Below are 26524 nucleotides of genomic sequence, written 5' to 3'. Positions count from 1 at the left end.
TGTTGAATTGAAAGAAGCACTACAAAGATGTTAAGGAGGGAGGGACTTCTGTGACCCAAGAAATTCCAGTCAGGGAAAGAGTTAGAGCCCCTGAAGGAAAAAGGGGGAAGGATAAATCTGTAAAAAGAGATTTAAATTCCAGGTAATCAGAACAGGAAAGAAGCTTTATTTTAGGAGTATTAGCTCCAGAGAAGGAAGAAGATTTAGGGATTAAATAAATTCATCCAAAGAACATGAAAGGGAGTTAAGTTGTAGGGGGTATAAGCACAATTATTTCTGAACTTCTTCTAAATCGTATTAAACATCATTATTTCTATTTTTGTTCCTTACACCTTTCCTTGAAATCAGAAATGAAGAGAAAGCTCAGAGAAAGTGGTCAAAGTCAGGCACAGGTGGGAATTAAATGAGGATCTGCCACTCTCTCAGCATTGAGGCAGCCCACGTATGTAATTAAAGTGTACATTGGTCTAGTGCTTAATAGTTTAAAAACCTTTCCATACGTGATATCTTACTTATTGGAGAAGGATTAAAGGAGGATATCAGTGTGGTTAGGTCAGGTAAATCTCTGTCTTTATTTTATATTTGCTTTGACTATGCACCCGTTGGGTGTGGCACTGCTAATTGTTTGCATTCTTGCTTCTCTCTCTCTCTCTCTATATATATATATATGTGTGTGTGTGTGTATGCATTACCTAATATGCTGGTAATGAATTGTTGCAAGATATAGACCATTACATGTAACTGAAATATTTCCAATTCTTTAAAGATTAATATGCCCTCTTTAAGACCCAAAATTCCACCAGCATCATAAGCTCCTTTCCCAACAACCACCATCACCACTTACCCAGCAATTTCAGGACCCCACAAAGAAGGTATTCCCCTTTGTGACACTCATAGCAAAGGTTTCTTGGGCTGAGAAATGTTTGAGTTAACAAAGCATTCTTTCAGTTCACACCAACGGCTTTTCCCCCCATAACCATACAAGCCCTGTGCGGTGCATGTAAAGTGGAGGATGTAAATACACTAACCCTCTACGAACCTCAGGTTTGTCCTGAAATGGACAAGATCAAGTTCTTAGAGAGAGAAAGGGGTTGATGGAGGCGGAAGGCAGATAATAAACATGACCTAAAACGTCTTTCACTGATTCTATGAAGCACATTTTCCCCCGTATTTTAACATCTTTGAAAGAGAGATGTGTCATTTGTGGTCTGCCAACAGGCAGGTATGTTGTAGGTATTATTGCCCATATATCTCCAGCAAAACTTGTAGAATGTATACCATTAGTGTAGAGAAAATTCCCAAAGATAATAATGGAGGCTCCTTTTAAGAAATGCTGCATCGTTTATGCTTTTAAGGGCACAGAAGGTATTGGTCGAAAATTGTTGACTTACGGTATATTAGTTATCTATTATTGCATAACAAATTACCCCAAAATGTAGCAGTTTAAAACAACAAACATTTATTAGTTTCTGTTGGTCAAGAATCTAGGACCAGCTTAGTTGGGTTTGCCAGTTCAGGGTCTCTCATGAGATGTAGTCCAAATGTTGGCTGGGACTGCAGTCATCTGAATACTTGACTGGGCTGGAGGACCACTTCCAAGCTCACTTAGGTGGTTATTGCCCAGATATCTGAGCAATATTGGGCCTCTTGATAGGATTATGTATGACATAGTGTGTGGCCTCCCTGAAGCAAACAATCTAAGAGAACTAAGAGGGAAGCCACAGTGACTTTTTATGACCTAGTGCCTGAAATCACAGCTGTTACATCCACTTTATGCTATTCATTAGAAGCAAGTCATTAAGTCCATGCCACACCCAAGTGGAGGGGACTTAGGCTCCATCTATTGAAGAGAGGAATATCAAAAAATTTGTGAACATAGTTTTAAAACTACCACTCGTGGGCAAAAACATGATAAGGTTATCACTGGCCAGGCATGGTGGCTCACATCTGTAACCCCAACACTTTGAGAGGCTGAGGCAGGAGGATCACTTGAACCCAGGAGTTTGAGACCAGCCTGGAAAACATGGTGAGACCCTGTCTTTACAAAAAAATTAAAAATTAGCTAGGCATGGTGGTGTGCACCTATAGTCCCAGATACTCAGGAGGCTAGGGTGGGAAGATCGCTTGAGCCCAGGGGGTCAAGGCTGCAGTGAGCCGAGATCATTCCACTGCATTCCACCCTGGGCAACAGAGTGAAACTCTGTCTCAAAAACAAACAAACAAACAAACAAACAAACAAAGTCACTGATGTGAAGAAACTATTTCATTTATATATGTATGTATTTCAAATTGGCACATAATTGTATGTATTGTGTAATGATCAAATCAGGGTAATTGACACATCCATCACCTCAGACATTTACCATTTATTTGTGTAGAGAACATTCAAAATCCTCTCTTCTAGGTATTTTAAAATACACTATAATTTATTGTTAATTATAGCCACGCTGCTGTGCTATAGAATTTATTACTCTTATCTAACTTTAATTTTGTATCAATTAACCAACCTCTCTATCCCTCTGCCAACTCCCTACCCCTCCCCAGCCTCTGGTAACCTCTATTCTATGAGACCAACTTTTTTAGCTTCCACATATGAGTGAGAATGTGCAGTGTTTTTCTGTGCTTAGCTTATTTCACTTACCATAATATCCTCCAGGATCATCCATGTTGCCAAAAATTACAAATCATTTTATTACAGCTAAATAATATTCCATTGTGTATATACACCACATTTTCTTTACCCATTTGTCCATTGATGGGTGCTTTGGTTGATTCCATATCTTAGCTATTGTAAACAGTGCTGCAATAAACATGGGAGTGCAAATATCTCTTCAACATTCTGATTTCCTTTCCTTCGAATATATACTCAGTAGTAGAATTGCTGAATTAAATGCTATTTCTATTTTTAGTTTTCTGAGGAACTTACATACTGTTTTTTATAATGACTGTACTAATTTGCATTCCTACCAACAGTATATAAGAGGCCTTCTTTTTCTGCATCCTTGTCAGCATTTGCTATTTTTTGTTTATTTGATAATAGCCATTTTAACTGGGATGAGATGATATCTCATTGTCATTTTGACTTGCATTTCCCTGATGATTAGTGATGTTGAGTATTTTTTTCATGTATCTGTTGGCCATTTGTATGTCTTCTCTTGAGAAATGTCAATTCAGATTATTTTGCCCATTTTTTAATCAAGTTATTTGCTTTTTTGCTCTTGGTTGAGTTCCTTATACATTTTGGATATGAATCTCTTGCCAGATGGATAGCTTGCAAATATTTTCTCCCATTTTTTAGGTTGTCTCTTCACTCTGTTGTTTTCCTTTGCTGTGCAGAAGCATTTTAATTTAATATAACCCCATTTATTTTTGCTTTTGTTAACTGTGTTTTTGAGGTCTTATCCAAAAAAATCTTTGCCTAGACCAATGGCTTGATGTGTTTCCCCATGTTTTCTTCCAGTGATTTCAGTTTTGGGTCTTACCTTTAATTCTTTAATCCATTTTGAGTTGATTTTTGTATATGGTAAGAGATAGGGGTCTAGTTTTATTCTTCTTCATATGGATAGTTTTCCCAGTACCATTTGTTGAAGAGACTATCCTTTCCCCATTGTATGTTCTTGAACTCCTGGCCTCAAGTGATCTTCCCACCATAGCCTCTCAAAGTGCTGGGATTAGAGGCATGAGCCACCACACCCAGCCTCCGGTTATATGTTCTTGGAGACTTTGTTGAAAATCAGCTGGCTGTGAATACGTGGATTTATTTCTGAGTTCTCTATTCTGTTCCATTGGTCTACCTAGACTGTTTTTAGGCCAGTATAATTCTGTTTTGGGTACTATAGCTTTGTAATATATTTCAAAGTCTGGTAGTGTGATGCCTCCCAGCTTTGTTCTTTTTGTTCAGATTGCTTTGGCTATTCAGGGTCTTTTGTGGTTCCATACAAATCTTAGCATTTTTTTCTATTTCTGTGAAGAATGTTGTTAGTGTTTTGATAGAGGTTACATTGAATCCATAGATTACTTTGGGTAATACATTTCACTTGCATTTCTAACGTAGAAAGAAGAATGATATATGATAAAATATATCAACAAGTCTAACAGCTCTTTTATAAGTTTAAAAAAGCTTTTAAATGATATTAAAGTAATGGATTATAGTGTAATTGGCAGGGTTTTTTTTAGTGGTATATGAAATAATCAATTGTGTCTTATATTCAATAAATACAGTTAACAGATTTTTTTTTGAAAAATCACTGAAAAGACAGTTTAGGAAGTAATCACATTTGTTGACATACAAACCAGCTGTAATCGTCTCCCTTTCTCTGATTTGCCTTCTAAGATGGTTTGAGGCATCATAATCCACTGAAGCTGCATCTTACATACATTTTACAGGAATTTTTGAGTCAGTCTTAAGTATCCTGAAGTGAAATGACTTTTCCACTTGCATTTTCCCTTGATTTTCATGTTTCTCAGCAAAATCTTTAAGTAACTGCATGGGCCTTTTTATTATCTTAATAACTAAAATAATGGTTTTGGGATTGGGTTTTTCCATCCACATACTGGAAGTCTGAAGCATGGGTAGAGAATAAACGCACCTACTCAGGGTGCACATTAATCTGGGACACCAGTATAACCACACTGGTTGGTTATTAAAATATTGACATAATTCTATACAAGGAGGCAATTCCATACAATAAACTTCTAGTTCCTGACTCCCCTACTACTACCCCATGACCTCCCCAGAACCCAGCAACTAAGGGGAGGGAGGGAGATTGCTCTAGGACCTTCTTCCATTACTATGTCCAGCATCCCTTCTGACTGATGAATGCTGTGCTGTGTTACAATTGAACACAAGAATAAAAGTACTTCCAGCTACTTATCAAATTGGTGGACATATTTACACAGACTTTTAGTACAAATTGGCATCCACAATATCGTGAAAAGCAGAGCAAAACAAGGAGAAATGAGTTTTTTTCTACAGAACCCAAAACTCTGTTCTAGTCATAACTTGCTCCATAGAAACGAAAATACAGGCTGAGCACGGTGGCTCACACCTGTAATCCCAGCACTTTGGGAGGCCGAGGCGGGCAGATCATGAGGTCAGGAGTTCTAGACCAGCCTGGCCAATATGGTAAAACCCTGTCTCTACTAAAAATACAAAAATTATCAGGGTGCCTGTAGTCCCAGCTACGTGGGAGGTCAGGAGTTCTAGACCAGCCTGGCCAATATGGTAAAACCCTGTCTTTACTAAAAATACAAAAATTATCCAGGCGCCTGTAGTCCCGGCTACATGGGAGGCTAAGGCAGAAGAATCACTTGAACTCGGGAGGCGGAGGTTGCCGTGAGCCGAGATCATGCCACTGCACTCCAGCCTGGGCAACAGAGTGAGACTCCATCTCAAAAAAAAAAAAAAAAAAAAAGAAAAAAGAAAAGAAAAGAAAATTTAAACAAGGTTGTAAGTGATAATCAGAATAGGGCTTAATTTTCTAACAATTTTATGTCTGTCCACATAATTAAGGACAGAGAATAAGCAACTATAATGCCAAACCATAGTAACATAAATTTAATTCTGCCTTATAAACTATAAACATATATGATGCTCCACCTAACATGTACACACATACATTTCATGTGTACATATATGAACCTGACAAAGAATAAGCTAATGTAAAGGGCTGCAAAAACATAAAATACATTAAAGTGGTAACTGTTTACAGTATTACTGAATTGGGTTGGAATCTTTTTTCAGTTAGCTTATTCTTTGCCATTAGATTATTTTCCTCAACAGTGATTTTCAGACTTGTTAAGGTGACCAAATACTTGGAAGCCATAATGCCCTTCACACAGCACCATGATTTACTGATGTATTTAATTCCAGCATAACATTATACAAGCAAGGAACAATTTTACCAGCAGAAAATATAACGTTATTATGTTTCCACATCTAAACATCTAAAAAATACTACTACTATAAATAAAATATTTATGAAACCACAATTCATAGCAGGATAATAAATAACAAAATTTGAACCAAGCCAACCACCTAGAAAGACATGATTCAAAGACAAACTGGCGTTTATGACAACTGCTCGTTTAATTTTCTCCTGTTCCCTATAATTTGCTTTTGTCTGATCTTAACACCCACATCTGATTTCTTAAGTCTCTGACCCTGACTTGAAACCTGTTAACTTGCTTCAGATTACCTGAGCCTCGGCTCCTCCCCGTAGATATGGTCTCAATAGACTCCAGTATCTCTGCAACTGCTGGCCTGCCCATTCCTAGGCATAGGGTAAATGGATCTCAAGGAGCTCCAGAAATCCAGCTGAGGTTGGGATGCAAGAAGGCAGAGTTAGCATAGAAAAGAAAAACAGCATCCCTTGTGCCTGAATCTGACACACAGTAAGTGCTCCATAAATGTATTAATTGGAAAAAGCATCTCCAACAAAGGTAAGCTTGGGAATGAGCAGAGCAACTCAGAGTTAAGAACAGGATCTGAAGCAAAGGTAAGAGTTAAATGGGCAAGAAGGCTGTAACTGGACAACTGAAGCTACAGCCAGCAGAGATGCCTCAGCCTTGCAGGGCATTATAAGTTTAGACATTTATTCTATATCCTATCTTATTTCACAAAGAATCTAAAAAGCAAAGTAAAAGTAGAGCATCCTATTATCCTTTTCTGAACCAAGTCTGAGAGGAAGTTGTCTAAGAAACTTTTGAACTCCACATTCCATGTTTTCTTTTTTTGGCTGCAATTTGGTAGGTAGCTGAAAAGAGGGGTACATTTGCCCTGTATGCCTGGGTTTATTTAACACATATATTTCTAAATATAGAGAATGCTTTTAAATATAGAAAATCATCCACACATAAACCCACAAAAGTTAGTGAACAACACATGAGCAGCTGTTTCTGTTTTTCAGTAATTGGTTTGCTTCTTGTTCACCGGTGTGCTTGTCTGTTATCACTTTGAGGTAGGCAAACAGTAATTGTAATTAACATTTAAAAATTAGGAATTAGGCCAGGCGCAGTGGCTCATGCTCGTAATTCCAGCACTTTGGGAGGTGGAGGCAGGCGGATCGCTTGAGCCCAGGACCAGCTGGGCATGGTGGTGTGTGCCTGGGTGACAGAGTGAGACCTTGGCTCAAGGGGGGGGGGGGAAGAAAGTAACTAAGATTTAAACCTTTTATTTTTCTTAGAATTGGAAAAAGACTGTCATAAAATTTTGAGGTAGAGTATGGCAAAGTAGCTCACAGTTTGAGAAAAATATGTTTGAATTTGGAAATTCCCACTGAAATTTCATTTTTAAAATGGGATTTGAGAATTAACTTTTTGATGTATTGTTGCCCATTTTCAAGACATTTCAGCATTGGTCCAGGTGGGAACTATTCCATGCCCCCTGCTATGGTCTGAGCAGTTGTGCCCCCCAAAAATTCATGTTGAAACCCAATTACCAATAATATTACCAGTGATATTAAGAGGTGGAACCTTTGAAAAATGATTAGATCATGACAGTAGAGCTCTCATGAATGGGATTAGCGTCATTACAAAAGAGGCCCCAGAAAGTTGTCTTGTCCCTTTCACCATGTGAAGACACAGCTAGAAGTCACCATCTATGAACCAGTAAATGAACACTGAATCTGCCAGAATCTTGACCTTGGACTTCCTAGCTCCGAAGTGAGAAATAAATTTCTGTTGTTTATAAGCTACCTAGTCTAGTTTATCTTGTTATAGCAGCCCGAATGGACTAAGACACCCGTCTGCCTTTTGGGTTAACTTATAATTAACAATAATAACGTATTAAACACAACTATGTGTTACTCAATATAGTTTTCTTGTTTGATCTTAACAGACCTATGTATTATTCATAATGCTTAACATTAATAAGCATTGCTCTTTTATTCTATGAAGTAGAAAAAAATAAGTGCTTAAAAGTTCAATAACTTGCCCACGGTTGTGTGCCTACTAAGTGGCTGAACCAGGAATCCAGCCTGAAATCCTCAGACTCTCCGTTGATCTCTTTTGGCACGGTGCTTAGCTATTAACCAGGGAGATCAACCCACTGCATTATAAATAGGCCTTTATGCTCCTTTTCCTTTCCTTTCTCTCTTCCTTCCTTCCACTATTTCTGCTTGACATTACTCTCAGGTATCCAAAAATAAATTATTTCATTGCCACCTGTTACTAAGAGGAACAGAGCCCAAGGTTTATGCTAATCAGCCAATCTTAAAAGAATGGAAAATACATGCCTTAAAAGTCCTGCTACCGAATTACAAGTTGGTTGTGTGTATATTAAGCAGACATTACTGTTCAGGCAGTAAATATAGCAATATATTATTCAGTTTCACAAAGGAATAAAGTATTTCAAGTTTGCTGTGACACTTGAAGTCTCTGCACCCCTGAAATTAAGCATCTGAACTTTTAATTAAAAAATAAACAATACTGTATATTTTTCTATTTTCAAGTTGTCATTACCAATGGCATTGTAAACCACACCCTATTAGTATTGCTTTTAGCACTGCTTCAGCTTTCCTAACTTACTACACCAACAGCTTTTGTCAATTTTCAAGGTGATTTATCCCTTTTTCTTTATTATTGTCTTTTTCATGTGGCTGAAATTTCTAGAAGTACAAGAAGCAAACTATATTAAAAATTGAAAAACACAATGACATTTTCTAATTGCATTATCCTTTTTTTTGAGACAAGAGACTCGCTCTGTTGCCGAGGCTGGAGTGCAGTGGCGTGATCTCAGCTCACTGCAAACTCCACCTCCTGGGTTCAAGCAATTCTGCCTCAGCCTCCCGAGTAGCTGGGACTACAGGCGCACGCCACCACGCCCGGCTAATTTTTGTATTTTTAGTAGAGATGGGGTTTCACCATGTTGGCCAGGCTGGTCTTGAACTCCTGACCTCGTGATCCACCCACCTCAGCCTCCCAAAGCTCCGGGGTTACAGGCGTGAGCCACCTCGCCTGGCCTGCATTATCCCCTTTTATACGATATCATCCTGATGCTTTCTAATGCGAATTTTTCAGGTAATTGAAGTGTATCTTTACTTTGGATAGAAAACATCCTTTGACAATTCCTTACTGTCTTATTTGACAGAGTAGCATAAATTCTTTGATTCAGTCAGTGTTATGAACACATTATTTTACAAAGTTGTAACACAACTATGCCTTTAGGACCTTGCTGTACAAGGTTCTCTGTCCAAACACCTTGTAGCCCCTGCTTACTACCTAAAACCTAGAGTCTTTGGAGTCTTCTGTCAGTGGGCCAGCGTACTTCTCTTGCTGCCTAACATCCTACCTCCGCCACCCTGGGCCAAACCCTCGCTTTGCTATGTCTATATCTGGTGTGAGTCTGGAAATGTGTTAGCTGAAGTTGTTACAATAATGTATTCATTATGTTACTAAAGGTCTTCATGAGATTTGCAGGGCTCTCCCAGGAGGAAGACAGTTTCTGCTTGTAGTCTTTGTGGCATCTATGTGGCCTATATTGCTTCTCAGTGATTCTGTGAGCTTAAATAATATTTTAATTATGTTTTTCGTTTTCAGGTCTTCCTATAATTTCCTAACATTGATTGCTTAAAATATTTAAGTAAAAAGTGTCTCTAAATCAAATTTTAATTTCCATAAATGTCTAGAGCAATGGCTACAAATTAACATGCAATTTGAATTGGAGTTCTTTGGCGGTATGTTCAGAGAAATGGTGACCAGATCTCAATACGAGGAATTACGAACGGTGGCCAATGTGTTCTCCAGTGAGAAGCATTTAACTCTCCAGTGTTCATGATAAGTAGGTTGATAGTTCAAATAATTTATTGCTGCTTTATAGTATACATAATTAAATGAAACATGTTAAACTCAAGGGAATTTTTAATAGGTTACTTGCAATTGTTATTGCAGGCAACAACTTGTACATGATTTTATTTCCAAATCCACAAAAAACAAATTTTATACAAATCAGCACTGTAAAAATGTCAATTACAGCCCCAGAGGCTTTGCTGGCAGAATAATTGTCTAAATTCTAGAATATGGGAAACAGGTTTTTTTCTGGATTCATCTTTTTTTTTCATTTTTTTTTTTTTACAAAAAAAATTTACAAGTGAAATGTTACTACAAAACTTTTTATAAGGAATTTTTGCAAAACATTTACATTTTACCATCAACTATTTCTGTTTTAAAATCATTATGTAGATTTAATACCCTATGCTGCACATCAATTTATGTGGGATGACAACTTAGTGACATGCATAAAAAAACACCACAAGGCATTAAAATGGAGACTTAAATACAAATATTGTTGCAATAAAACAGTTATAAAATTGAAAAATAGGACCTAAACATCATGCTTATCTAAGTTTGACAAATTAACTTTTTCTCCTAGATTACACACTTTTATTACTGCTCTCATGAGAGTGTGATAAATGACTTAACATCAAGTTCTAATGTAATCAGCAACACATACACAAACCTAACCAAAGAAAGTATACTGTAAGAAAAAACTATTCTAACACTGGAGTTTTACCATGATAAATACATAGCTTTGCACTGATAATTACAATAAAGAAAAGTTTTATAACGGTGGTAAAGGGAATGAACAGTGAAATGCCATTAAACAAGACTCTACTGCACATCTGTGCCCTATTACTTATAACAGCTATATCCCACTGAGTCAAATAAAGGACACTGAAATTTACGATTCTTCTAAAGACAGAAAAGTAGACTCAGAATGGTATGCAGAACAGACTGTCAAAATATTTCTAATTTCAGTGGTGAAATGTGCACCTGCTAACACAAATTAACATATTTTATATGCTATAAAGCTATCTAGATTCATCTGATAAATTTATAATAGGCCTCATTGTTGATTAAAAAATAACTTCCATTTCTAATGGACATACATAGGTTTGCATTAGAACTGGTTCATGGAATAATGATGCAGAGTGTTCATACTTGGTATTAACAACAACAAAAAGTGTCACTCTGAGGAAACATGATTAAAACATTAAGAAAGTTTCTTTGCATAAAAAAATTTATAGCACTGATTGTGTAGCATAATGATAGATAAAATATATATTTGATGTTTCAGCTCCTATATAATAAAATTAAAATGAACACTACCAAATGCTCCTCTGTACCAAACAAAACAACAAACCAATTCTGATGTTTTAAAGCCAGATACATCAGTTGTTAAGAGTACATTAAATAAAATATACAAAACAATTTACAAAATCCAACTTAAATTTAAAGACTCTGTTACAAGTCTACAAAAGCTTTAAGAAACTTGAAATTTATAACCACAGTGTAAAAATTTTTTTTTTCCTTTAATCTCAAAGCTTTTTTATACAAACTGAAAGCACAAAAGACCTTCAGTTTTATATAACGCTACAAAGGGCTGGCCTAAAGTGTACATAGTGTAAACAGTGATCATTACAGTATTTCTCCTTCATCAAAAATACAAGAAACATCACAATTTTGGAAGAGAATTCGCATTAGTACTTTTCCTGAAATTATAGAGAATGCACAAGAAAACACGTACCTATATTCAAACAGTCCCCAAAGCAATGATGTTAATAAATTGAGCAGGTAGGTAAAAACTTTTAGTTTTCAAATGGTCAATTTCACTGATTATGATTCTGTGTAAATACTTTTTTAAAACATAAAATATCCTTATTAATATTTAAGTTACTGGTTTATAATCCAATTTTTTTCATATGAAACTTTTGGCCATCTTTCCTAGTAAGACCCTTTCCTAGCCGGGCATGGTGGCTCATGCCTGTAATCCCAGCACTCTGGGAGGCCGAGGTGGGCAGATCACCTGAGGTCAGGAGTTTGAAACCAGCCTGGCCAACATGGCGAAACCCTGTCTCTACTAAAAATACAAAAATTAGCCAGGCATGGTGGCAGGCGCCTGTTAATCCCAGCTACTCAGGAGGCTAAGACAGGAGAATCGCTTGAACCTGGGAGGCGGCGGTTGCAGTAAGCTGAGATCGTGCCATTGCACTCCAGCCTGGGCAAGAGAGCGAGACTCCATCTCAAAAAAAAAAAAAAAAAGACCCTTTCCTGTAAGACCCTTGCATAAACAATAATATAGTTTTTTTCTTTAGTCACTTACTTCACTGAAAATTATTCTGCCTTTTCAAAAATAAAAGTTTTGCTTCATAATATATCTATTATATATTAGGCTAATTTTTAGGGAAAATTCAGTTATTGATGTAACATAAAAACATTACTGTGTTATAATTCCTAATTACCTTCTTACATAGCACTAGAAATAAAATGGGACTGGCCAATTTTTAGTAGAGGAAAACAAGAATTACAATGTAGTTAAAAGAGAATTTTCTGCTGGCCTTGGAAAAAAGTGTAATTCTTTCTTTGGCTACCACATCAAAGCATAAAGAATTCTGCACATTGTCAACATAACTCATATTTACAAAATATGAAACTACAGAACAATTTACACTCTATGCAAATATTTCCAAATATAAACATTTTAAATGAAATTTTGTGGTTCAACCTAGGGTTAGGAATATAATCAATCCTAACTTTAGAACATTGCATGTTAAGATGCCTCATTTTATTTTTCTGAAGCTATGATGAGTTTTGTTTTAACCATTTTTTTCCCAGCATTTTCCTAAGGTGTCAACCTAAAATTTAACCTAAGATTTAACTCTATGTTCCTCTTGTGTCTCCAAATGGAGAAAGTAATTGGACTTCACTGATTGTCTGCATACACACTACTATAATGTAGTGGTAATAAAGATCTGAGATGCATCTCAGATTACTGTTTTGGAACTTACCTAATTCAACTGTTGAAGAATTTCTAACATTTAGAAAAGACGGCCAAACTATTTTCGGTTGATTTTCCAAAAATCAAGCTAAGGAAATACAGTATTATCCCTATCATCAGTTAACTATCTGTTTTCTGTGCTATAGAGAAAAAGAATACACGTAAATTATTACTGACTGAATTTATAACAAAGTACTTTCAAAGAAAATAAGTCCAATTAAGGTCCAGCCTGCAAACTACTAAGGTCTTTTTAAACATGTTAACACATGATATTAAGAGATGGGAAGATTCTGTATAAAGGTTATGTGATATATTTCCAAACAACTACAACTTATAGTATGGAGGAAATACTTTTCTGTTTCCAGTACATCAGTCTGCTTTTTGTATTTTTTAAAATTCAACACTTCACGTGTTGACCCCAAACCCTGGAATACTTAAAGAAGCCAAGAATGAAAACATAATTTCCTACTCTGTAATCCACTTGACCAGCCCATTTCCAGATTTTCAAAGGTGTGTAAACAAGTGCAGCACTAGAGGTCTCTGTTATAAATAACTTTTCAGAATTCTTCCATGTTGGTTGAAACATTGGGAGTTGCTGGATTCGAATCTTGAGAAATGGCTGCAACTGTGACAATTCTTGGGGAGCCAAGCACCTCTGTAACAGATGAGTCCAGTTCTCCCGAGGTAACAATGGCAAGAGCTGTCCCACCACCTTTTTTATTCTGGTGCGTTTTGACATGTTTGGAGAGATGATCACTCCGCATAAACCTTTTAGAACATTCCGGGCATTCAAATCTCTTTTCACCTACATAGAAAAACAGTAAATGGCGTTATACACATTTTGCTTAAGTGAAATTATAATTTTTAATAATCTCCCTTCTGGTCACATTATATGACTTTTTGTACAGTTTCACTAGTTGCAAAATGCTTTGTTTTATTTAAAAACGTTATCAAATACACAATGCAAAGAGAAAGACCATGTGATTGAGACGAAAAGACCTGAAGTTTAAGTCCTGCTTCTGCTATGAACTGGAAATAAAAGCTGGAGCAAGTAAATAGCCACTGGAACTCTCAGTTTTCCCATCTACAAAGCAAGAGGGTTTTTAGCAGACAATTTAAAATATCTCTATCAGATGTAACAAATATATATAATGTTCAAGGCTCATGTCCACTCTTCTTCAAAACTGCTAACCTGGGTTTTAGTTTTAATCTTGGAGGCATGAAATATCTTGGAACTATTTCAAATAAACTAAGTTAATAATTTAATAGCATACTGAGTTCTTTACAAGGCAAAAATGGGAGGCAGGCACATGCTACATTCAGAATTTAATAAAGTTTTTAGGTTTCATAAGATAACAGTTTCTGTTGTCCAAAGCAATTCTTAAATATGTTTTCTTCAAAATATAAGATAGTTTTACTGGACCGACTTCTTTGTTTTGGAATAAAAGCTAGTTTAATGTTAACTAAAAACAAAAAGGCCTTTTTGTTTTTGTGTATAATAAATGAGGCATATCAAAATTTGGTTAACTGGTTTATCCTGATGTGCACAATGAATAACTGTTAGCCGTAGATCTTCCCTCTAAAATTGTTACTTAAGGGACTGAAATGTTGTTTTCCCAGTCTGATAAAACTTGGGTAATAAGTGATAGGGTTTGGCTCTGTGTCCTCATCCAAATCTCATCTTGAATTGTGCTCCCATAATTCCCACATGTTGTGGGAGGGACCCAGTGGGAGATAACTGAATAATGGGGGTGGGTTCCCCATACTGTTCTTGAGAATAAGCCTCACAAGATACGATAGTTTTATCAGGGATTTCTGCTTTTGTGTCTTCCTTATTCTCTCTTTGCCTGCCACCATCCACACGAGATGTGATTTGCTCCTCTTTGCCCTCCACCATGATTGTGAGGCCTCCCCAGCCATGTGGAACTGTAAGTCCAATTAAACCTCTTTCTTTTGTAAATTGCCCAGTCTAGGTATGTCTTTATCAGCAGCATGAAAACAGACTAATATAATGAGAAAATTCAATTTGGATAATTTCTTTTCTTGGCCCTGCTTTTGACTTACCAATAAAAAAAATCTATAGGCTCAAGTTGGTCCACGTCAGATATTCTCTCTTTTTCTTTACATTCTCTTTTTCTTTACGTGTGTGCTTTTACTTTTGAGTAAACTTTGAAAAAACCATTAGTCTTCCTTATTATTGTTACAAACAAATATTAAAACTTACAGGAGCACTGCACTCAATACAATATTGTATTAAACATCCATCTGAAGTAACACAAAGAAGATGCACCTCCATGTCATACCACACACCAAGATACATGCTACAAAGATTTAAAACCAAGTATTAAAAAAAAAGGAAAATATTTCTATAACCTAGAGTTTGAAGGTACTTTAAAAAGTACAACAGGTTATTTAGAAACTATAAAAGAGAGAATAGACAAATCTGACTACACAAAAATAAAATACTTTGTATGACTTAAGATTCCATAAAGTTAAAGGAGAGAAAAAAAAGGTCAACAGAAGCATAAAAACAGTGTGATAAAATTTAACACATTTTGATAAGAGCTCTTGGCAAACCAGGAATAAAAATTTATTTCTTTTACCTGCTATACCCCTACATATAATTAATGGAGAAACTTCTGAACTATTACTTTATACATCAGGAACAAGATAAGAATGCTATTATATATATCATTACTATTTTCAACATAATATGAAACATTCTGACGAAGCCAACATATAAGACAGTAAAATGAACTGAGGTACAATCACTGGAAGAAAAAAATTGAAATAGATTATTATTTACAGTTATTACTATTTACATAAATAATCTGAGAAAATAAACAATTAGAATAAATTTGTCGTGGCCAGATTCACAATCAATCGATAATAAGCAACACCATCCATTAATTATATAAATCAACATGTAATGCAAATGTTGAGGCTACAGTGAGCCACTGCACTCTAGCCTGGATGACAGAGCACGGCCTTGTCTCAAAAAAAAAAAAAAAAAAAAAAAGTGTGTAGACAAGGCCCTGACCCCAGGTCAAACACAAACTCTATGCCAAGCCACAGTTGGCAAGCCTGGTCTTGGTATCTTATTCCAGGGTCTAGCTAGGTTCTGACAGGAGGAACCTGGGATTTCTCTGTACAAAGGTGGAGGCAGTGGCCTACTTAAAAAAACAAACAAACTGTATTTAGGCTGGGCGCGGTGGCTCACACCTGTAATCCCAGCACTTTAGGAGGCTGAGGTGGGTGGACCCTGAGGTCAGGAGTTTGAGACCAGCCTGGCCAACATGGTGAAACCCTGTCTCTACTAAAAATACAAAAAAAGTAGCTGGGCGTGGTGATGCACGCCTGTAATCCCAGCTACTTGGGAGGCTGAGGCAGGAGAATCGCTTGAACCAGGCGGGGTGGAGGTTGCAGTGAGATTTGGATGCTAGGAAATAAATTACCTGCTGTAACTGCCCCGGGTGTGCCTGCCTACCAGACACTCCATCTTGCAAGACCACCATTAAAAGTCTCGCTTCCATTGTTTGTGTCTCCAAGTCCATTCTTTGGGTTTGGACAGGTGAATCTGTGTTTCTCACAAACCTGGGGGCCTGTCTGGGATCTCTGTGCCTGCATGGAGTGGGACTCCAGCCGAGAGGGCAGAGGTGTCCCACCCGATTTGGGTGGCCCACTCTGTCCGGGCATCCTGGCTCCCCACAGAAGCCACAGACAAACCTGAGACTGTTATTCAGGAGGCAGCAGAGGCGACACAGGGAGAAAAGCAGGCACTGCAGCAACCAGGCAACCTCGTGCAGAAGCCAAGGGAGGAAAATTGGACTGTAAGTACTGTCTTGGTGGTTGGGCATTTTCAGAGGTTGAGTGTGTGTGACTGAGATGTACCCTAGATATGAAGCAAGTGCAGAGTCCCAATCCATGGTTCCGTTCTCCCGTGAGGAGAATGGACAAAGAATGGCCAGAGAATGGATGAAGTGATTCCATGGGTGTGCAAGAAACCTCCAGTAGGGGGTGCTGAGAACACAGGGAAAAGCTCAGACACAGACTGACCAAAAATGGGAAACAGAAATTCTAGGCCTAGGGGACAAGGGAAAGAGGGAGCCAAAGAGACTCCCTCTGACATTTACCAGCATAGTCCTATGGCCTAAGTTTGGCTCAGATAAAAATTAGGTGTGCCAAGCTTTAATTCTCTATGTGAATAATAAAACCCCAACCTCACAAGAGACAGGTTATGCTCTCTGCTGGATCAAGGAATTAGCCCCATATTCCCACTTAAAGAAGAAGAAAAAGAGCCTAGTAAAAATCCCTCACCCAGGGAAAAGCCCTGGGACCCTATCATCCATGCCCCTCCATACATCTCACAAAATAGGGGACAGGAAAATCAAGGGGCAGCAGGAGGGTTAGAGGAGGAAAGACCTGGACACCATGGCGGAGCCAAACCAACTGCTCCTCTAAATCCTTATCCAAATTTAAGAAAAGAACACTGTAAGAGGGATATTGAGAACTTCCCTATTCCTTCCACACAGCAGGCACCTAGCATGTTCCCTCTTAGGGGAGTTCCCATGGGACAGGGAGAGACTGGCTTTGTAAATGCTCCTCTTGCAAGTATTGAAATTAGGAATTTCAGGAAAAAAATGAAACCACTCCTAGAAGATCCACTCGGTTTAGCAGACCATCTGGACCAATTCCTAGGATACAGCTCTTACACCTGGGCTGAAATGATGTCCATCAAGAATATCCTATTCATAGGAAGAGAAAGGGGAATGATCAGGAGAGTGGACATGACCATCTGGGAGAGGCAACACCCTCCCAGGCAAGAAGTCTCACCAGCCAAACAAAAATTTCCAAATGTTAATCCTGAATGGGATAATAATGATCCCAGGGACTGCGCCCAAATGTAGGATCTCCAGGAACTAATAATTAAAGGGATCAAGGAGTCCACTCGTAGGACATAGGACACATTCACGATTCAACAAGAAAAAGAGGAAACTCCTTCTGCATTCCTATATAGGCTCAGAGATCAGATGAGAAAATGCTCCGGATTAGATCTAGAGGACCCAGTAGGGCAATGCCTTTTGAAGGTTAACTTTGTAATTAAGAGCTGGCCTGACATTACCAAAAAATTACAAAAGATTGATGGATGGAAAGAGAAACCAACTGAGGATTTACTGAGGCAAACTCAGAGGGTCTTTGTAAGGAGAAAGGAAGAGAAGCAGAAACAAAAAGCAAAAATCATGGTTTCCACTGTGGAAGAGGTAGTCAGAAAAGACTTACATCAAGATCCCCCACTTAGGAGACAAGGGAATTATAGATTTCAACACAAAGAAAGAAGGGAAATGCAGGGAAAAGGTCCTAAGACTATGAGTGGATGTTACAAGTGTGGAAAGACAGGGCATTTGAAGAGAGGATGTCCTAAATGGAAAAAAGAAAAGGTGATACCCCTCATGACTATTGATGAAGACTAGTCGGGGGCAGGAGCACCTTCTGAGTAGATCCCACCAGGAACCCTTAATAAATTTGAAGGTGGGACCTGAGGGAGAAGTGACATTTTTGGTTGATACTGGGGCAGCTCACTCCTCCCTAATTCACCAACCAAGGGCTACAGAACTCTCTAAGGAAAAATTGAAAGTATCAGGGGTAAAAGGGGAGGGATTTCAGGTTCCAATATTTAAGAAAATTTTAATTACATCAGGAGCAAAACAAATTGAGGCGTCACTTGTTCCTGAAGTAGGAACTAACCTCCTGTGTCGAGACCTGATTGTGAGATTGGGTTTAGGATTAGGAATAGAGGAAGGACAAATAAAAGTAATGATGGGCCTCCTGACAGAGGAGGAGGAAAGAAAAATTAAATCCCCTTGTGAGGGTTAGGGAAGGCAACAGAGGGTTAAAAATCACACCCTTACAGATTAACCTAAAACAACCAGAAGTAGTTTGCAGAGAACAATATCCCATTTCCACTGAAGGGAGAAAAGGTCTCCAACTGGTAATAGAGGGATTGATTAACGATGGACAATTAAAACCCTGCATGTTACAATACTCCAATTCTCCCAAAGAGCCTGATGGGTTGTATAGATTGCTACAAGATCTAAGGGCTATAAATCAAACTGTCCAGACCTACCACCCTGTGGTGACTAAACACTACACCCTCTTTAGTAAGATACCCTATGAACGTAAGTGGTTCAATGTGGTGGATCCAAATGATGCATTCTGGGCATGTCCCCTAGACTTTAGGATTAGGGAACCTCTTTGCCTTTGAATGGGAAGATGCTATAACTAGGAGAAAACAACAGTACCCCTGGACTGTGCTGCCACAAGGTTTCACAGAAGCCCCAAACGTATTTGGTCAAATCTTAGAAAAAGTCCTGGAGGAATTTCAACCTTCCAGGGGAACCCAGTTGTTACAATACATAGATAATCTTTTAATTTCTGGGGAGAGGAGGACCGAGGTATCAGAAACCACCACAAGCTTAATTTCCTAGGAGAAAGGGGATTGCGAGTATCTAAGAACAAACTGCAGTTTGCAGAAAAAGAAGTTAAATATTTAGGACACCTGATTAGTGAAGGGATGTGAAGAATAAACCCAGAGAGAATACTGGGAATAGTGGGTCTGCCTTTGCCTAAGACAAAAAGAGAACTCCAAAAATTTTTAGATTTAACTGGCTACTATAGGTTATGGATTGACTCATATGATCAAAAGACAAAGACTCTATATATCAAGTTACTAAAAGAAGAACCCAATCCCTTGCAATTGTCCTCAAAGGAAATTCAGGTGGTAAAAGAGCTAAAGCGGGCCCTCATTACAGCCCCGGTCCTGGTCCTCTCATCTTTAGAGAAACCATTCCATCTGTTGGTAACAGTGGATCACCCTTGGGGTGCTCACTCAAACCTGGGGAGGGAAGAGGGAATCTGTTGCTTTTGCCTCCAAGCTTCTCGATCCTGTCTCTCAGGGGTGGCCCAAATACGTGCAAGCAGTGCTGCCACAGCCCTGCTGGTAGGAGAGTAGAAAGCTAACCTTTGTTGGGGCCCTAATAGTAAGCGCTCCACACCAGGTCAGGAATATATTAAACCAAAAGCCGGGAGATAGTTTGAACACGTTCTTCATAAAATATGAAGCCATATTATTAAGAAAAAAAATTATTTGCTTGTAACAACAAATATTTGCCTAAATGCAGCCAGTTTCCTATGGAAAGGAGAGGAGATCAAAGACATCAGACCAGAACTGCTTAGATATCATAGAATAACAAACCAAAGTAGGACCAAACCTTAGGGAAGCTCCACTACATGATGGGATAAGGCTCTTTGTGGATGAGTTGTGACGAACGAGAGATGGCAATGCTGTCACTGATGGAGATAAACACTCCCTATGTGAGAAAGGTAGATTACCTAATGGCTGGTCAGCCCAAATCTGTAAATTATATGGTCTTAACCCGGCCATAAAGCTCCTTAAAGCCAAAGAAGGCACTATATATACTGATTCTAAATATGCTTAATGGGTTGGAACACACTTTTGAAAAAATCTGGACAGAGCAGGGTCTAATAAATAGCAGGGGAAAATAATTGGTACCTGGGGAACTGGTCAAACAGGTTTTAGAAAGCCTCCTCCTTCCAGCAGAGGTAGCCATAGTTCATGTAAATGGTCATCAGAAAGGGAACACTATAGAAGCTACAGGAAACAGGCTTGCAGATGAAGCTGCTAAGCAAGCCTCCCTGGACGAAGAAATTAGACTATGTAGCCTGCTCCCAAACATCCCTAAGCTAGTATTAAGGCCCCAGTTTACCAGAGAGGAGGAGGAAGAATTAGACAGGACAGGGGTCACTCAGACTGAAGATGGCAAATGGGTACTTCCTGAAATAAGTAAACCCCTAATGAGAAAACTAGTATCTACATTACACAAATGGAGTCAATGGGGACCCCAGGCTTTGTGTGATACAATACTTAGGAATTATGGGTGTATAGGGATTTATACCCTTGCTAAACAAGCATGTGGAAATTGTGTTAACTTGTCAAAAGATAAACAAAAAGGTGATTAGAAAACAGGAAGACCTCCGGAGTAAGACCACTTCAAAGCATTCAAGTAGATTTCACAGAAATGCCCAAAGTAGGAAGACTAAAGTATTTACTGGTGATGGTAGATTACCTTTCAGGCTGGGTAGAAGCCTTTCCCCTTCCAACAGCCACTGCTGGGAATGTGGTCAAAATAATATTAAAACAGATTCACCTAGCTTTGGACTGATGGAAAATATTAATTCAGACAATGGAAGCCACTTTACCTCAAGGGTGTTAAGGTGAATTATGGAAGGTTTACAAATTAAATGGGATTATCTCACCCCTTGGCATCTCCCTTCCTCTGGAAAGTAGAAAGAATGACTCAAACTCTCACAAAGCATATCACCAAACTAATCTTAAAAACTAAAATGCCTTGAACCAAATGTCCCCCAATAGCATTCCTTAGATTAGAACAAGCACCAATAAAAGACTTGGGATTGCCCCTCTACGAGTCATTATATGGGCTCCTATATTTGCGCAGAGCTACAGATCTTCCGGCTATGGAAACCAAGGATCAATTTTTAAAGAAATTATATAGTGGCCATATACTCCACCCTGTCATCCCTTAGGTTAAAACGACTTCTAACTCAAACTTCACCTCTTGAGTTCATGGCTCACCACTTTCAGCCTGGTAACTTGGTGCTGATTAAGACTTGGAAAGAAGACAAGCTCCACCCAAGCTGGGAAGGTCCCTATCAAGTGCTCCTGACCACTGAGACAGCCATGCGAACAGCTGCATGAGGTGGACTCACTATACTCGAGTCAAGGGACTGGTAAAGGAGACCCTGGAAAGGAGGGGAAAAGACCAGTGGAAAGTGCATGGGTCACCTAAGGAACCCTTAAAGTTAACTCTGAGAAAAATCTAAAAAGAAAACATGGGCTGGCCCCAGTTCTGGAAGACTCTTGGTTATATGGGTTAGGGGCAGACATCACAGGGAAAGACCCTGTAGGGCGATTTATTCTCAAACTCATCAAAAACTCAACCCCCCAAGTGTCTGGTACTACTCCAAGCCCAGGCCCTAGTAAACACTTTAGTCCACCAAATAATGATCCTAAAAGGCTAAAAATAATTGAGGTAAAGGATGTAAAGCAAACCTTAAAAACTGAGGGTATGGGGATGTGAATGCCTGGGTTGAGTGGGTCACATTTTTGGTACAAGCCCTCAACAAGAGTAACTACTATGCATGTGCTGCGGGAGGACCTCAGGCATGGGTGGTTCCATTTCCCCTAGGATGGAATACTGATCCTGAAGTAATGTGTTGCATGTTGGCTCTATACCGAGACAAGGATGCATGGGAAAATGAGACTTGTAAGAGTCTGTCATTGCTCTTTCCCGCATTGTGGAGAGAGGTCAGAACCCCTCATTCTCTACAGGGAATATGAACTACTCCTCTTGCCTCTCCAGGCAGGGGGCAGAGTTCAATAAGCCCATGGGAGAACTCTCAACTTGTACCCACATCCTAAGCATCACAGGTTGAGTCAGGCAATGGCAATTACTCAGCTCTCCATACACCACGGCTGATGTCTGGTGGTACTGTGGGAAAAAAGGATGATAAGTTGTTACCGTCCAATTGGACTGGGACTTGTGCTTTAGTCCAGTTGGCCATTCCCTTCATCCTGGTATTCCATAAGATACCCGAAAATACACACGGCTACCAAAACCGGAGAGATTTGACGTATCTTTTGATCCCAATATATATGTTAACTCTATAGGAGTTCCGGGGGGGGGGGGGTGCCTAATGAATTTAAGGCCCGAAACCAAATAGCAGCTCGGTTTAAGTCAGCACTCTTCTGGTGGTCAACTATTAAGAATGTGGACTAGATTAACTACATCTATTATAATCAACAGAGATTCATCGATTATACTCGGGACATCCTCAAAGGGGTGGCTAGCCAGCTAAATGCCATCAGCCAAATGGCCTGGGAAAACAGGCTTGCGCTAGACATGATACTAGCAGAAAAAGGGGGCGTATGTGTTATGCTGGGTGGGAAATGTTGTACTTTCATTCCCAACAATACTGCCCCAGATGGGACCATCAGAAAAGCTTTACGAAGACCAACAACTCTAGCCAATGAACTGGCAGAAAATGCTGGAATTGATGACCCATTTATGGGTTGGCTAGAAGATTGGTTTGGAAAATGGAAAGACATGGTAGCCCTCAATCCTTACATCTCTCATAATTGTGGCAGAAGTCTTAACAGCAGTGGGATTTTTGTATTAACCCTTGTGTGGGGGGACTAGCACAGAGATTAAAACAGCTATTAATAAACAAATGCCCATGACTTAACCAGCAAAATAACCTGGTACTATTAGAAACAAAATTAAACTCAATCTCCTATGGAGAAAGTAAAAGACTTCTAGAGCAATTCAAGGACAAAAAGGATTTAGATGAAAATGAGACCGAAGGAAGTAAACAGAAAAGAGGAGGGACTTTGTGAGAAAATGTTTTAAATGATCTATTTTCAAGGCATGATAAATCTAAATATACTGGCAACCAGCCTGCGGATGTAACAAACTGCACGGCTCACGCACCTAGAAGGTCACAATGAGCAAACAGAATGTAGAGAAGGGGTCAGCCCATAAAAGCGAAGAAAGTTTCATTATTGGGAAATCGAAACTTAAGCAGGGAAGGGAAGATTACACCCTTATTAGGGGGATAATGAAACTTGGATGATGTCCGGGAAGATTGTAACCCTGTAATACTCGACCTATGAGGAACTAGGGGAGGGATTTGCATGCTAGGAGGTAAATTAACTGCTGTAACTGCCCTGGGTGTGCCTGCCTACCATACGCCCCATCTTGCAAGACCACCATTAAAAGTCTCGCTTTTGCTGTTCTTTGTGTCTCCAAGTGCAGTCTTTGGGTTCAGACAGGCGAATGTGTGTTTCCCACATTAAGTAACATGGTAAAAGGGACTGTGCAGATCTAACTAAAGTTATGGAGCTTAATATAGGGATATTATTCTGAATTATCCAGTAGTGCGTAATGTAATCACATGAATTCTTAAAAGCGAAGAGCTTTCTTTAGCTAGAATCAGGGAGATTAGAATAGTGAGGGGAAACGTGCCCTGCTGTTGCTGGAGGGGGCCACATGGACAGTATGAGAAGGAGTGTGGGCAGCCTCCAAGTGTAAACACTGGAGGCTCCCAACTGCCAGCTGGCAAGGAAACAAGGACCTACATTCTACAACAGAAAGGAACTGAATTTAGCTGACAATTCAAACGACTTTGGAAGCAGGTTTCTCCCCAGGGTCTTCAGTAAGGAATGCAGTCCTGCCAAAGCCTTGATTTTGGCTCTGTGAGAAACTGAGCAGAGCACCCAGCTGAGGCCCCTTGAACTCCTGACCTAGAGAAACTATGAGGTAATAAGTGTGTGTTATTTTAAGCGGCTAAATTTGTGGTAATTTGTTGTGGCAGCAATAGAAAACTAATCTAGTTACATATGATATAACCTTATAAAAAATTTAAAGCCCAATAAATTATAGCTGACCTAATATATGGCTCAAGATATGTAAAACATCTTCATTACAAATATCCAAAGTACGTCAAGAACAAATTTCAAATTTCATTTCTTCATGAAAATCTCAATGTATCCCAAGAAATTTTTAATAAACTGAGTATAGGAAAAAAAATGCTCCTTTTGCCTAGATTATCTAAGAGAATACCATGCTTTATCACATTAAGAAAATGTAGTCTTTTAAAAGGATTTAAATACAATGTTCCAGAAACTACATTCGACTACTTACTATTTTAATATTCTTAACAGTAATTTCCCTTGGAAAAAATTTGCTGAGATTTCAAATGGAATGATAGATTGGAATGGATGAGTGGAATAAACCAGATCTTTTAAGCTTTCTGTATCTGAAGCACCTATCAAGAGTCAGTTATCTAACTGTCAGAGTTCTGCCTATAATCTGTTTTTCAAATTGCTACTCTCAAAACTAAGCTATGACAATGTATGAAACATACTTTTTAAATTACTAATGCTATTTCTAAGTTTGTCATTTGATAATATACCTCCATATTTATAAATTAAAATTAATTTCAAGAGCAAATTAAGGTAATATATTAGTTTCCTCGGGCTTCTATAAGAAAATACCACAAACTGGGTGGCTTAAAACAACATAAATTTATTTTCTCACAGTTCTGGAGGCCAGAAGTCCAAAATTAAGATCTCAGCCCAGCCTTGCTCCCTCCAAGGACTCTAGAGAAGAGTCCTTTCTTGCCTCACCCTAGCTTCTGCTGACTGCTGGCAATCCTTGGCATTCCTTGGTTTGTAGCTGCACTGCTTCAATCCCTGCCTTTGTCTTTGCCTGGACTTTTCCCCTGTGTCTTCTCCTCTTATAAGGACATCAGCTATTGAGTTTAGGGCCCACCCTAATCCAGTATGGCTTCATTTTAACTTCATTTCATCTGCAAAGACCCTATTTCCAAATAAGGTCACATTCACAGATACTAGGATTAGGATTTAAACATATCTTTTTGGAAGAAACAATTCAACCCACTAAAGGGACATTTTTAAATGTGTGGCATTTAGAGACCGTAAGACCGATCCTTTCTCTTCCTCCTCAAATTCCTACGTAATTTGAATACAAAGATGAAGACCTTTATGAAAACCCACTTCCACATAATGAATAGTAAATATATTCTTTCTTCCTTATGATTTTCTTAACAGTTTTTTTTTTTTTTTTTTTTGAGACAGAGTCTTGCTCCATCGCCCAGGCTGGAGTGCAGTGGCGTGATCTCGGCTCACTGTAAGCTCTGCCCCTCAGGTTCCTGCCATTCTCCTGCCTCAGCCTCCCGAATAGCTGGGACTACAGGCCGCCACTGTGCCCAGCTAATTTTTGTATTTTTTTTTAGACAGGGTTTCACCGTGTTAGCCAGGATGGTCTCGATCTCCTGACCTCATGATCCGCCTGCCTCGGCCTCCCATAGTGCTGGGATTACAGGCGTGAGCCACCGCACCCGGCCTAACGATTTCTTTTCTCTAGTTTACTTTAAGAATCTGGTTTATTATACATATAACATGCAAAATACGTGTTAATTGACTATGATCATTAAGGCTTCTAGTCAACAGCAGGCTATTAGTAGTTAAGTTTTAGGGGAGTCAAAAGTTACACGCAAATTTTCAAATGCTTGAGGGTTGACTTGCCTCACCTCTGTGTTGTTCAAGGGTTAACTGTAATCATTTTTGAATGTAAGGACTCAAGTTATTCAAACTGAGAGCCATGTAGTTCCTGAAACACCCCTACCTTACTCCCAGTCTATCAGTCCCTCCTACACTCTTTCTTACCTACGCGGCCTAGAATATCTAAAGTCTTTTCATGAGTACCCTACATTTTCCAGTATCATTTACCTGGGGGTAAAAGTAGATAGTTGCCCTTGGTATACACTAGGATTGGTCCCAGGACCCCGTAGATCCCCAAATCATTTGATGCTCAAGTCTCTTATATAAAATGGTGCATACAGTATTTGCATATAACCTACACACATCCTCCCATATACTTTAAATCATCTCTAGATTACTTTTATGACTAATATAAATAGTTGTTATATTATTTTTAATTTGTATTATTTTTTACAGTTTTTATTTTTTCAAAAATTTTCAATCTCTAGTTGGCTGAATCTGAGGATGAGGAATCCACATATAAGGAGGGCTGGTTGTAATAAGGGGGGAAAGATGATAATTTGAGAGAA

At 38.7% G+C, this 26524-nt stretch overlaps 1 protein-coding gene across 3 annotated transcripts in view; it reads right to left on the bottom strand.

Moving 5' to 3' along the window:
* Positions 9780-26524, bottom strand: part of SP4 (Sp4 transcription factor) — an 86740-nt gene continuing 69995 nt past the window's right edge. For all 3 annotated transcript variants that reach the window (NM_003112.5, NM_001326543.2, NM_001326542.2), the window contains exon 6: positions 9780-13580. In NM_003112.5, coding sequence (NP_003103.2) covers positions 13333-13580 — 248 coding nt within the window. In that variant the 3' untranslated portion in view covers positions 9780-13332. The remainder of the gene's footprint in view (positions 13581-26524) is intronic.

The sequence above is a fragment of the Homo sapiens genome, chromosome 7 (assembly GCF_000001405.40).
Source record: "Homo sapiens chromosome 7, GRCh38.p14 Primary Assembly".
NCBI lineage: Eukaryota > Metazoa > Chordata > Mammalia > Primates > Hominidae > Homo > Homo sapiens.
The sequence above is the reverse complement of the archived record's forward strand: the minus strand, read 5'-3'. Positions and strand labels throughout refer to the sequence as shown.